Source organism: Homo sapiens, chromosome 14 (genome assembly GCF_000001405.40).
Source record: "Homo sapiens chromosome 14, GRCh38.p14 Primary Assembly".
NCBI classification, from domain to species: Eukaryota; Metazoa; Chordata; class Mammalia; order Primates; family Hominidae; genus Homo; species Homo sapiens.
In genome coordinates, this window is record NC_000014.9 from 75,768,221 (window position 1) to 75,782,195 (window position 13,975).

The 13,975-nt window shown below is 38.8% G+C and overlaps 1 protein-coding gene across 1 annotated transcript in view; it reads left to right on the top strand.

Annotated features, from left to right (window-relative positions):
* TTLL5 (tubulin tyrosine ligase like 5) overlaps positions 1 to 13,975 on the top strand; it is a 293,834-nt gene that overhangs the window by 106,975 nt on the left and 172,884 nt on the right. The window contains exons 21-24 of the mRNA NM_015072.5: positions 3,514 to 3,634; positions 7,264 to 7,410; positions 8,527 to 8,630; positions 11,355 to 11,482. Coding sequence (NP_055887.3) covers positions 3,514 to 3,634; positions 7,264 to 7,410; positions 8,527 to 8,630; positions 11,355 to 11,482 — 500 coding nt within the window. The remainder of the gene's footprint in view (positions 1 to 3,513; positions 3,635 to 7,263; positions 7,411 to 8,526; positions 8,631 to 11,354; positions 11,483 to 13,975) is intronic.

The window sequence follows — 13,975 nt, forward strand, 5'->3', positions numbered from 1 at the left end:
CAGTTAGAGCAATAGACATAAGATCAGGAAGGAGTAGTATGGTAAAAGCTGCAGAATGAGCATTTCAGGTCTGTAGAGCCTCAAACAGCCCTAGTTAGGATGAATAGTGAAAAGAGACTTCTGGATTTGTGACCTAGGGCCAACTGAGTAGGTGGAAGACCAGTTGTGAGTGGAGAAAATAAGAAAGCAAGTGTGAACTAACTGTCTAAGGGTTTGGCAATGAAAGGAAGGTAAGAATGCATCAGGGAGACAGCCAGCTAAAAGAAACGGATTTTTTTTTTTTCTTTTGAGAAGAGGTTCTGGAGGTTGTTTATAGACTAAGGGGAAGGATTTGAGGATAAGAGGATTAGAAATGCAGAAATGGACATATTGGTAGAGAAGAGTACTAAAGGAAGGTGGGAAGAGGCCAGAGGAGGGAGTATCTCTTCCTATCAGTCAGAAAGAAAGTGCTATGGGATGAATGAAGTTGACAGAAGTTTAAGAGCAAGGAAGTTTAGCCGTTTATGCATGATAGTCTTTATTTCTAAATTAGAGGCCAGTTCTTATACTGAAAGGCTGGAGGGTGACATTGGAGTAGCAGGGGATAGAGTTAAGGTTTGGAACAGTGTCATGGAGAATAAGAATAGTTCTGTCAGTGGAGAATAGAATATGCTAAACTCAGTCAGAAGACCTGAGCTCTGGCTGTTTTAGTGCTACCAACTGGCCGTGTGGTCATAGACAAGTCAAAGAGCTTCTATAGGCCTCAGTTTCCTTTTCTGTCAATCCAAGATGTGGAGTTAGACAAGTGTTTTTTCAAACTTCTTCCTAGAGGGAAAGAAGATTTCACTGAATTGAAAATAGAGCATTTGAAAACCACTGGACTGTATTCTAAGGTCCTTTCCAGCAATAACATTCTGCTTAGTTGTTGTAGAAATAAATTATTTCTTCATGAATCTTGTGGCTCTCGCTTTGAATGAGTAAACTGTTAAAATTGCAGGCTGCGTTAGTGTCAATCAGTGGTTTTCAGACTGTGTTCCCTAAAGCTGCTCATTGTTCGGTGAAGTGTCTCAGAGGCTACTTAGGGGTTTGGGGAAAGTCCACGCACAGCCAGGGTTCAAAACTCTAAGGATCGCGTCATTGTTGCATATCTTATATACTGAGCATCTGCATAACCTTTTGTTTTTTAAAATAGGTTTCTTTGGTTTTTATTCTTTCTGGTTTTTATTCTTTCATCTTTTGGGGGGTTTGTTGCAAGTGACTAGCTGAACAATGTGTCCAATACCTTAGAGACAGTCTCAGAATTAACATTCGTGACGTTTATGGAAATGGAAACCTCAATATTTGTTCATTTGCTTTGCAACAGTGATTCACAACAAAACAATGATTGAAGTCTCAACTTATGAGCAATAATCCCCTTATTTAAAAGATCTTCAAGTTTTAGTATAAAGGGATGAATCCGTGGAATTGGATATTCTGCTACATTTGAAGGTGTCTGAAACATGCTATTTCTTGCTCATTATATTGTAGGTGAATTTATTGACCCAAACTGAGGATCTTTTAAATTTATTTTGACTTGAGAATAATTTGTTGTGGAGACAAAGCTTATAGGATTGATTCAGGGTAAAGTGATATATGCTCTCTGGGTAAACAAGAGTATAATTATTGTCTTTGAGGAACAGTTGAAAATGTACATTTATGGCCAGGCGTGCAGGCTCATGCCTGTAATCCCAGCACTTTGGGAGGCTGAGGTGGGTGGATCACCTGAGGTCAGGAGTTTGAGACCAACCTGATCAACATGGTGAAACTCTATCTCTATTAAAATACAAAAATTAGCTGGGCATAGTAGTGAGCACCTGTAATCTTAGCTACTTGGGAGGCTGAGGCAGGAGAATCGCTTGAACCTGGGAGGCAGAGGTTGCAGTGAACCAAGATCACACCACTGCACTCCAGCCTGGGTGACAAGAGCAAAACTCTGTCTCGAAAAAAAAAAAAAAAAAAAGAAAATATAAGTGTATTATTTCAAAACCATATTATGCTCCCATAAAAACCATCCCTGCTAGTAACAAAGATGTAGCCTTATTCTTAGTTCATGTTCTGAAGCTCTTATGTATTAAACTCTCAAAAGCAAATCTTCTCCCCAGCCTGACTCCCTTGCCCTCCAATTCTCCAACATACACATGGAAGCTAGACTGGAGCCCTCTTAAGATGTGCAGCTTACTTTAGCCAAATCCTACCTCCTAACCTTGTGAAAACAGTCAGTAGAAAGCATTCAGTGATTGCATTTGTGGGGATTGTAAACAAAGTTTGTGTTGGGCCCTAATCTTCGCTGATATAATTTTGGCTACAGTATCAGAAGGCCGATCAGCTGAAGTAACCAAAATCTGGCCTGAAAGAAAACAGATCTGCCATGAACAGCAGCTGAGGTGAAAATCATCAGTGTCTCTCTGGTACTTCTGTCTTCCAAACTATAGCTTGATCAGATTTCCTTATTTCCAGCCTAGGCCACCAGGCAGAAAATAGCTGCGTTCTTTAATGATGTTGCTAAGGTGCTTTTCACAAGACTTGAGGATTTCTTTCGCCCACTGAACATCTGGGCTTGTCCTGCCTGGCCCATCAGTTCATCTGTGCCAAACTCTGTTGGACCTCCCTCATTTGCTCTGGGCTCCAGCCATTCCATCTTGTAGTTGAGAACAGTGTGGCCTTAAATTTGGTCTTAAGAGTCCCTTTATAGGATTTATCTATTTCCTGCTTTGGACACTTTTATATACTAGAAATATTAATTGCCATTGCAAAATCCACACTTTTGCTTTTGTACTAACTGATAAGTTCTTATGGACCTCCAAATGTAAAAAACATTTTCTCATTAATACAGTGGTTTTTGTGAAGATTGAGTACTTCTCCTGTCTGTTCCCCCAAGAAAGTTGTTAAAAAGTTCAAAGAGGGTCAAGCACAGTGACTCAGGCCTATATGTAATCCCAGCACTTTGGGAGGCCAAGGCAGGCGGATCACTTGAGGCCAGGAGTTCGAGACCAGCCTGGCCAACATGGTGAAACCCCGTCTCTACTAAAAATACAAAAATTAGCTGGGTGTGATGGTGTGCACCTGTAAGTCCAGCTAGTTGGGTGGCTGAGGCACAAGAATCACGTGAATCCAGCAGGATGGAGGTTGCGGTGAGCTGAGATTCCACCACTACACTGCAGCCTGGGTGACAGAATGAGACCTTGTCTCAAAAAAAAAATTTCAAAGAGAAGGAGTAAGAAATCTAATTTTCTATTCTTCTTTTTTTCCCTTATGCTAATAATGAGAAAATAAATAGGATTCTCCATCTCTGATTCTTTTAATAGGAAATTTAAAAAGAAAAACCTTCATGTACTGCTTAGAAGGAATCCTTATTCACAGGCTGTAAGATGGGTTTCATATTTCTTAGCCATCATAATAGAAGCATCCTCAAAGGCCACTTGGAGAGAAGCAAGTACACATTTTGTAGTTTTACACTTCTGTCACATAACGGTATGTTGTTTTGGATTTCTATAGCAAAATGCAGGCCCGAATAGCATTCTCTGCCTATCTCCAGCATGTTCAAATTCGCCTGATGAAAGACAGTGGCGGTCAGACGTTCAGTGCCAGTTGGGCTGCCAAAGAGGATGAACAGATGGTAAGGCTTTTCTTACTGAAACCTTTTTACTTTCCCTTTTTCTTTCTTCTTTCTGTATTTTTTTTTTTTTTTCCTATTAGGGTAAAGTGCGATATTTTTCTGGTGAAAGGATTATTATGTAAGAAGGTTTTTAGATTTCTTATAAATCTATACTTACAAGATTTATATATACTTATTTCTTATACTTCAATGTGAAGCAAATCTTTGACCTGGAGCTATGTTCATTACACCATGTAGTGAAGGCATCAATGTATTTCATTTTGAATTGGAAATTGATTTCTCATTGGACGTGAAGCCCTGTGCAAAGCCCTTTAAAAGAATAACAATTTACAGTCTTTTCTCAAGCAACCTCACATTATTAACTCTGAGGTAGGCATTATCATCCCTGTTTTACAGAAGAGCAAACAAAGACCTCGAGAAGCCAAGGTTCCACAGGTTATACGTGATGAAACCAGAACTTAAACTCAGATGTACTTTACTTGCTCCTCCATTGCTTTCATGCATTGTAAAGCATTTATTTTCTGTCCTGAGGAGTCAAATTAGCTCTTTGAAAGTCATCACCTTATCATAGGCCCTGTCAGAATATACCATCCTCCAAGTTGGTATTTTTTACTTTACTAGTTGTAACCTCTTAAGATTCTTAGATTGCTAGAATCAAACTTGTATAATCATTTTTACTGTATATCAGTCATTTGAACATTCCTGGGATTCAGTATTCTAGGACAGTTTTGTGTGTGTGAATCAGAATGATGGGGAGCTTTAAGCTGTTTGGTAAGGTCAGAGTTTATGGAAGAAGCCACAGCCCTTCCATATTCTTTTTTTTTTTTTTTTGAGACAGAGTCTTGCTCTGTCGCCCAGGCTGGAGTGCAGTGGTGCGATCTCAGCTCACTGCAACCTCCGCTTCCTGGGTTCAAGCTATTCTCCTGCCTTAGCCTCCCAAGTAGCTGTGATTACAGGCACCCACCACCAAGCCTAGCTAATTTTGTATTTTAAGTAGTGACGGGGTTTTTCCATGTTGGTCAAGCTGGTCTCAAGCTCCTGATCTCAGGTGATCCACCCTCCTTGGCCTCCCAAAGTGCTGGGATTATAGGTATGAGCCAGCGCGCCTGGCCCCATATTCTTTTTAATAACAGGGATTTGTCACCAAAAGGAGAGGGGCCTTTAAGTCTGAGAAAGCTGCATTCTTTGTTCCACTCAGTGGTGACCTTATTGTAATTTTTAGTCCTCCACATACAAAAGGCAAGTCTTTATGCCAGGCTTATTGTAAAAACATGTTGGTTATCCCAGAAAACAACTTATGAATTTAAAGTAGCCAATGGAACCCAGAGATAAAACCTTGTGTGTTGTGAATAATCCTTCAACCATCAGTGGAAAATGTTAGCTCTGCTCTTTCCAAGTGGAAAATTGAAACTGCCTTTTTGAGAGTCAGTTTGTCTGCTCCACTGTGAAAAAAATAATGTTTTAATATAACAGCTTAAACCACCCTATAGTAAAGACAGCAGAGTAGAACTATGAAATTCAACCCTCTGGTTATGAGGCTGTTTCACTTATGCTGGAGTAAATTGGCACCAAAGGACAATGAACCAAAATCAAATTCAAGAAGAAAAAAAATAGTTCAAAAAAGAATAACCACTGCGGATGCTGGCTTGGAATTCACACAGTATTTCTTTGGGGCTTTCTACAAGAATATTGAGGATCATCACTACAAAACTTAATACCAGTTCTGTGAATTCTTTCTTGAAAATATATCTAGGCTGGGTGCGGTGGCTCATGCCTGTAATCCCAGCGCTTTGGGAGGCTGAGGCGGGTGGATCAGTTGAGGTCAGGAGTTCGAAACCAGCCTGGCCAACATGGTGAAACCCCGTCTCTACTAAAATACAAAAAAATTAGCTGGGTGTGGTAGTGCGCACCTATAGTCCCAGCTACTTGGGAGGCTGAGGCAGGAGAATTGCTTGAACCTGGCAGGCGGAGGTTGCAGTGAGCTGAGATCACACCACTGCACTTCAGGCTGGGTGACAGAGCAAGATACCGTCTCAAAAAAAAAAAAAAATACATATATATATATATATATATAGAGAGAGAGAGAGAGAGAGAGAGAGAGAAAGAGAGAGAGAGAGAGAGAGAGAGAGAGAGAGAGAGAGAGAGCGAGAGTACAAGCCTTACCCCATTCCCTGATGATTGTAGCAGTGGTCTTGCTTTTGAGGAAGGTAGATGTAGAGTTGGCCTCTGTGTTCCAGCTTAGGTTAGAGATTCCTTATCTCATAACTCACAGAAGGCACATCAACAGAACGTCCCCAGATTTATCATCTGAAGGCAGTTTTATTGTGGTTTTTGGACAACAACATCTTTAAGGCTCTTGGCCTTATAAAATCTCTCTTTGAAGCATTTATGATTTCATCAGTAATCTGATTGGTATCTGTTCAGATTTCAAAATCCTTTGCCCCCATCTTCTGTGAGATGTATTCTTTCTTTACCTTAATAACTTTCCACTGTGCCCTCCTTGACAACCCCCAACTCTAAAAGCTCCCTTATTCTTGGGGAAGAAAAAAAGCTATTACCTTTCAAACTACTGTGATAGTTCTTTCTTTGCCTTAATCACGACACTTTTAAAGTCATTAGTTTCTACTCTTCACGTATATTTTTCATTACCCATGCATTTTCTTAATGTCTTCTTGTACTCTCTTTATTGAAACTGTTTTCTTGAAATTATCCCTCAGTGGTCAGATCCAAGGCCTTGTCTTTGTAGTGGGCCTTTCCAGCTCCAGCCTCTTGGAAGCATTTGACATGGAACCCTTTCTTCAGTTGGCCTCCATGGCACTATTTTCTCTTAATTTTCTTTTTTTTTCTTTTTTGAAATGGAATCTTGCTTTGTCGCCTAGGTTGGAGTGCCGTGGCATGATCTTGGCTCGGTGCAACCTCCACCTCCTGGGTTCAAGTGATTCTCATACCTCAGCCTCCCAAGTAGCGGAGATTACAGGTGTGTGCCACCACGTCAGGCTAATTTTTGTATTTTTCGTAGAAATGCAGTTTTACTGTGTTGGCCAGGCTGATCTCGAACTCTTGACCTCAAGTGATCTGCCCACCTCAGCTTCCCAAATTGCTAGGATTGTAGGTGTGAGCCACCATGCCCAGCCTATTTTCTCCTGGTTTTCTGTGTTTCTGGTGTTTCTAACTTTTTTTTTTTTTTTCCTGATACTTCATCATCTTTTCTATCTCTAAATATGAATATTTCTGTATTCTCTGTCTTCTCACCTTTGATACTTTCATCTGCTTCCACAGTTTTAGTTCCTACTACCTGTCTTTGAATGCTACCTTCCCTAAATAGTGCTATTTGTGTATGTACTGTGGTACTTTTACAACTGCTACTTTATTACATAGTTATTTACATACATACTTGATTTAAATTTTCTGATTGCCAGCTGATTGAGGGAAGGGAATAAGTTTCTTTCATTTTTGTTTTGTCTTTCTGTATGCTTCTTATACCTAACCTTTTTGTTCTGGGTCTTGTTTGTTGAAATGTGTAATATATGTCTTCTTCCATCTCTGTTATATAATGCCTTCATAGCTTGTCTTCTGTTGCTTAGCACCATCCCTCCTTTTTTTTTCTCCCACGACTCTTTAATTTATAGGAGCTGGTTGTTCGTTTCCTCAAGCGAGCATCAAATAACCTCCAGCATTCACTGAGGATGGTATTACCCAGTCGACGATTGGCACTTCTGGAACGCAGAAGAATCCTGGCCCACCAGCTGGGTGACTTTATCATTGTATACAACAAGGTAAGTCTTTTTCTGTTAGTCTTGTGCTTTGGATTGCCATACACTGTCAGAAACAGACTAGATAGAAGCCTCTGTCCAACTGGATGGAGACACTCTTCTTCTGTTCTCTGGCATCACCATCCCTTATGTATTACTGTTAGGGGAAGCAGGACCCCACACCTTAACTCAGCTGGTCTGAAAAACTATTTATTACTTCTGAAGGCCCAGTGGCCATAGTTAATTCTTAATTCTTATCAAAAGGCATATTCCTTTTGAGCACTGAGATGAATCCTAGGCTGTGTGAGTCTGCACGGTTGTTAGTGCCTGTAGAAAGTGGCAAATTGACCATTGGAGAACAAATTTGAGCTGTGGATTGAATGTAATGACATATTCTTTCTTGAACGAGTTATACTTTCATCTTTAAAACATTTTATACATTACAGAATTTTACAGTCAAGCCCAAGAAATATACTATTTAATTAGAATATTTTGCAAAGCATTCTATATCCCGGGATCTCAGAATGCATTAAAAATATCATTTTGGGTGTTTGGGTTTGGGAGGTTTGGTCAGTTTGCAGAAGGAAAAGCTGATAGAAATTTAAATGGCTTTTCTAAAGTTGCATGGAATTGTTGGTAGAATATCAGTGCACCAAACTCATAGCCACAATTTACTCCAGATCTGTTGAGAATTTTGTTATGTCTTATATAAGTGAAGAATTTATTCAGTATGGAAGCTGGTATAAGAGTACCTTCCAAGATCTGTCTTTCCTCTCCTAATTGGAACAAAATACTGTGTCTCTGTTGTCATATTGTTAAAGCTACAAGGGTGATCATAGATATTACTAAGCTACTATAAAAACCTCTTTAATCAATGGGCTGTGTAAGTAGAAAGTAAAAACATGATTAAAATTTACATTCATTCTGCAACTTTTACTTGGGAATTTCAAAATGTTTTACAAAATCATGGCCAAAAGTAATATGTCAAATTTATAGGTGGCAAAAGTACATACAAGAATTAAATGTCTTTACTATAAGGACAGATTAACTCAAGGCTATTGAAACTACATGATGAAGTGCATATTTATTAGGAGTCAGTTTTATCTTGTTGTTTTTCTGTGGGGTTTGGGCACTGGGTAGGAAACAGAACAAATGGCTGAAAAGAAATCAAAGAAGAAAGTTGAGGAAGAAGAGGAAGATGGGGTGAATATGGAAAACTTTCAGGAGTTCATCAGACAAGCAAGGTAGTAGACATTCTTGATTGATAAAAGCTGTCTTATTCCATCTTCCATAATGCTCATTGAGTACCCAGCATTCCTTTGTTTCTGATACATGGATGTGAATGAAATCACTCTTAAAGCCGGGCACAGTGGCACACCCCTTTAGTTCTAGTTACTTGGGAGCCTGAGGCAGGAGGATTGCTTGAGCCCAGGAATTCGAGGCCAGCTTGGGCAACATAGTGAGACCCTGTCTCTAAATGATGAAAAAAGAAATCATTCTCAGAAGGAGAAAAGATTGTATGGGTTTGGCCTCTCCATATCTTAGCCAATTATGTTGCTATTTTCATGGCTTCAGTTATCAAAACATTACTGCTGGGTAGCAGGGCTGTAGTTCTCGACAGCCTTCACAGTGCACATCTCTTGAAGTCACATGAGAGCTCTTTGGAAAGTTGAAATTAGAGGCATCTCATATTTACTGGGTCTGAATTTGTCCCTGACCTACTCATGGAGTAGAAATGACCACATTTTGCCTACATTGAGTAGGCTGAGGAATTTGCAATTTCTCCACTCTGTGAGGGTTACACCTAATTTATATAAAATAGAACAAGTTCTTCATGCTTAGGGTTAGCCTTTAGAAATGGAAAATCTCGATATTCATCTCTCTATCTTGATAAAAGTCAGCCAGGCCATTTTGTCCATTTATGTTGGCTTACAAAGGAAGAGATAACAAAGGCACTTAATTTTAAATCTTGTAAAACTTACACTGGAGGATTTTTTTCTAAATAGAGAGATGTGCAAAACCATTAAAATAAAATAGGATAAAAAAACAGTAAGCCCCATTACTTAGGCTTCAACTGTCAAAGTCACAAATAGGGAGAAAATCAGTAGAAAATCTACCCTATGTTGATTGGTGAAGTTAAATGAGGTAGGGGTAGGAGCTTATCAATCACCAGCATAATATAATCTTTGTTTAATACCCTTTTCAGACCTCACTATCATGCGCTTTACAGCAAACAAATATATCATTTTGTAGGAGTCCATAATTGTATGGTGTTATTTGTTGACATTTTTGAGTCTTAAGTAATATGATTGATAAAACAGGTATAGTAACAGCTTCTCTCATCAACGTTATAAAAACAGAAAAGGATTAAAAAAAAAAAACAAAAAACAGATTGTGTCCAGAAAATAGCTCTACTTTTTAAAGCTAAAAGATAATTTTCAGGTTTATCCTAAGGATCTTCAAAATCCCTAAAATATATATTTTAAAAAACCCAGCCTTTAAAAGAACACTATTTCCCAAGCAAGTCTAACTGGACACTAAAAATGAATTATAACATATTGTTAACTAATTATATAGATGTGGAGATAAAATGCATTGGAACATAATTACTTCTGATTGGGGATTAGGTGTTGATTGTTGGGAAATAATGTGGTGACGTCAGTTCTTCTTTTATTAAGTTTGGTTTGAGTACATGGATACTTTTCAGGGCTGGTAAATTCAAATACTTGCTGGAGTCAGACAGGAAAACATAAATTATGAAGTGGGCAAAGGATAAGACAGATATAAAGCAGCTTGTATTTTGACCAACCGTAACCTTTGCCTTTCAGTATTCTGTGAAGGGCCAAATAAAACACACTGACAGGCAAAGGTTTGCACCCTCAGCTGTAGATCTTTGATAGTCACTTGAGAGACTTATCTTGTGGCATTTGGCTACTTTGAAGACTTTAGGGTTTACGCTGAGATTCATAAAGGTGGTTTCTAGGTTCTGGTTAGAGTGTGTTTTCTGAAGATGGGATATAGGTTCTCTGTGATAATGCAGGCATTCTTCACTTAATAGCCACTTTCCTAGAACGTAGCCAAGCTTCAAGAAAAAGAAAAAGAAAAGAAAAAGGCCATTGAGAAGCTGCTACAGATGTTAAAGTCCATGTGTGATATGTTCAATAGAAGAATCCACTAGCCTCTCATCTGTTTCCTTATACTTTCTATTTTGTGGCTGTTCATAAAGAGCATATAATTTCAGTAATTTGAAGTGATTTAGAGATGATATACTTTAGTCTCGTGCATTATATAGATGGTTAGGGAATTCTATGGTTATTGGTGGATTTCCTTATTTCTGACATAGGCAATGAAAATGACAAGTGGCTCTTTAAGTGAAGGTACTTCAATTATCTAGAAGTGAGCTGAACAAACTGTAAAGGTCCAGATAATAAACATTTCAGACTCTGTGGGCTACATATGGGTGGTGGTGGTGGTGGTTGTTGTCTTGTTATTGTTGTTTTGCATATTCTTTAAAAATATTTTAAAAAATTTTTGGCTGGGGGCCATAAAAACAAGTCGCTGGTCAGGTTTAGCCCACAGTGTGTAGTTGTTTGCCGCCTGTTCTAGAATGTGGCTGTCCAATAGAACTTTTTGTGGGTGACTACTGAACACTTGAAGTGTGGCTAGTTTACGGAAAAGAATCTTTAATTTAATTTGAATTTAAATAGTCACATATGACTGAGTAGTCGCTACCATATTAGACAGTGTAGATCTAGAAAATTCACTGCGGGATGAATAAAGCCTTATGCTTTAAATTTTTTAGATTGCTTTCATTTATATTTTATTTTAACCACCTATTAATAGGGAATTTTCAGCTTGTGCTTTTCATTTTTCCCTTTTCCAGCTTGCTCTGTTTTCATAATAAAATCTGGTGGAAAGATTTTCCAGAATAGCTTCCTGTCTGACCATACTTTTTCTCCTCATTTCAGTGAGGCTGAACTGGAGGAGGTGTTGACTTTTTATACCCAAAAGAACAAGTCTGCTAGTGTCTTCCTGGGGACTCACTCTAAAATTTCTAAGAACAACAACAATTATTCTGATAGTGGGGCAAAAGGTGGTAAGTATACTGGTTAATGAACGAAAAATAAGAAGAACAAGTGAAGAAATGAGAAATGCAAAGGAGAATGAGGAATAATGTGTTGGCTAAGCACTAATAGTCCCCAAGGTAATGAGACTTTGCAGCTTGGGGAGGGAGTGGAGAATGGGGGACAGTACTTTTTGTCCTAAAAGCAGAAGAAGGGCATGGTCTGATTTTTTTTCAAGATAATTAACAGCAGAGAGATTTTCAAGAAAAGCTAATAATAGCTGATATTTAGTGAACACTTATCTTTCTGTCTGCTGGACATGGTCTTATTTTTTACTTCCCAAAACCATATAGAGTGGGCACTACTACAGAACCTCTTTACAGATGAGAAAATAAGCTAAAAGAGACTGAGTAACTTGCCCAAGGTTATTCTTTATCGTGCAGGGACAAGGAATTTGATACATAGCCTGCCTGACTCAAAGTTTGTGCTCTTAATATATTCTTCTGTCTCTCTTAATGATTATTTCTGACTCTTGTCAAGTTTGTTACTTTCTCTAACTTAACATCATTGGCATTTTGGGCAGGAGAATTCTTTGTCGTGTGGGGCTGTTCCATACCTGGTGGGAAGTCTAATATACTTGGTTCCAAGCCTGACATGCCATTAGCTTCCGCCAGCCATTGTGATAATCCAGAATGCCCCTACATGTTTCTAAAACTTCTTACTGCTGGGGGATTCCATGGTTGGGGATTTTGGAATTGAATATGGATGTGGCTGTCTAGCTCACGTCACCATGATAAAAAAAAATAGCAGTGACATTCTGTTACAAACAAAGCTCTGTGCTTTAAATGTAAAATTAACTTAAAACCTAGATGGAAGCCTAAGGCATAGGTAATCAACCTACTGATGTTGTCAGTGTGCTAAGTACTAGATTCAAAGATGGAGACTTCTTCCCTGCTCTTAAGTTATGATAATCTAATATGGAAATAGCCAGGAAGATTGGTCATTTAAAATGTGGAATGAATTTTCCCAAAGAAACAGTGTTAATCTTTTAAAAACTGATTTGGTTCATAGGCCAATCCACATAAGCCTGTTTAACTCATGGTATGATTGAATTATTGTATTACTGGAAGTCCTGAATCCAGCCCTTTTCTTTGAGTTTTTCTAACTTCATTCACCTGTTCATTCATTCTTTCTATACTTTTTTTTACTTAGCACCTATTATGTGTTAGGCATTTTCATGGTTGCTAGGGATACAATGACCAGGACTGTCACAGTCTTTAACTTTATAAAGTTTATTGTCTGGTAGGTAAAAGTCAGGTGAGTGAATAGAATAAGAAAGCTGGCAGAAGCTCTGAAAAACTCCTATAAGAGTTTTGGCTAAGGGAGACAAAGGAATTCTTGTAATAAGGTTGGAATAGAGAAAAGCGTGCTAATTTGGGGAGGTAGGGGCCTAGATGGACATTCATCTAGTAACTTCTCCCCTGGCAGTAATGTGGAAGCCCTAACAGCATGTGGTGGCGACATCTTTTATACTGATAGGTCATTCAAAATTCTAGGGTTTGTGTTTTAAGGACTACCTTTACATAAGATCCATACCTGTGTAAACTTGTTAAGGATAACTGGCCGGCGGGGGCAGTAGGAAGACGTCAATCAAGGAAACAACATTATGACATTTGATAGTATAGTATCTGGAGTCATTTCAAACATGAACAAACAAGTGTGTGACAGTGTTACCACTGCTATTGGCGATGGAGGGGAGAAAATTCGTATGTCTTTATTCTTTCACTCTGAAAGATGATCTATAAAATGGCCTTTCTTAAGTTTTTGTATGATTCTAGCCCTTGACAAAGATTTTGGAATATTTTTATATATGATTAGCTCTGGCTATTCTGTTTCAAAATTCTGTAGTGGAAAAAATTAGTTATTAATGTCAAAATTGATTAGAGTGATACTATTATTGAATATACTGATCAACCTATCTCCAGTAAAACTGAAGAGTTTAGGCCGGGCATGGTGGCTCACGCCTGTAATCCCAGCACTTTGGGAAGCTGAGGCAGGTGGATCACCTGAGGTCAGAAGTTCAAGACCAGCCTGGTCAACATGGTGAAAGCCTGTCTCTACTAAATATACAAAAATTAGCCGGGTGTGGTGGCAGGCACCTGTAAATCCCAAGTACTCAGGAGGCTGAGGCAGGAGAATCGCTTGAACTGGGAGGCAGAGGTTGCAGTGAGCCAAGATCGCGCAATTGCGCTCCAGCCTAGGCAGCAACAAGAGTGAAACTTTGTTCAAAAAAAAAAAAAAAAAAAAAAAGCTGAGGAGTTTAAGATACAGAGCCATCGTAGTATCCAGGTATTATGCCAAGAAATAGTGGGACCGCTCTTGCTGTCTCGGGGTAGCTTCGCTGCTCCATATATATTGTAACTTCTTGGCTCCAGGGGCTACCACCAACCAGCGTGATCTCTTAGAACCCTCAGTCTGAATTCCTGGCATAAATCTGACTGCCCTTATTATTATTATTATTTTTC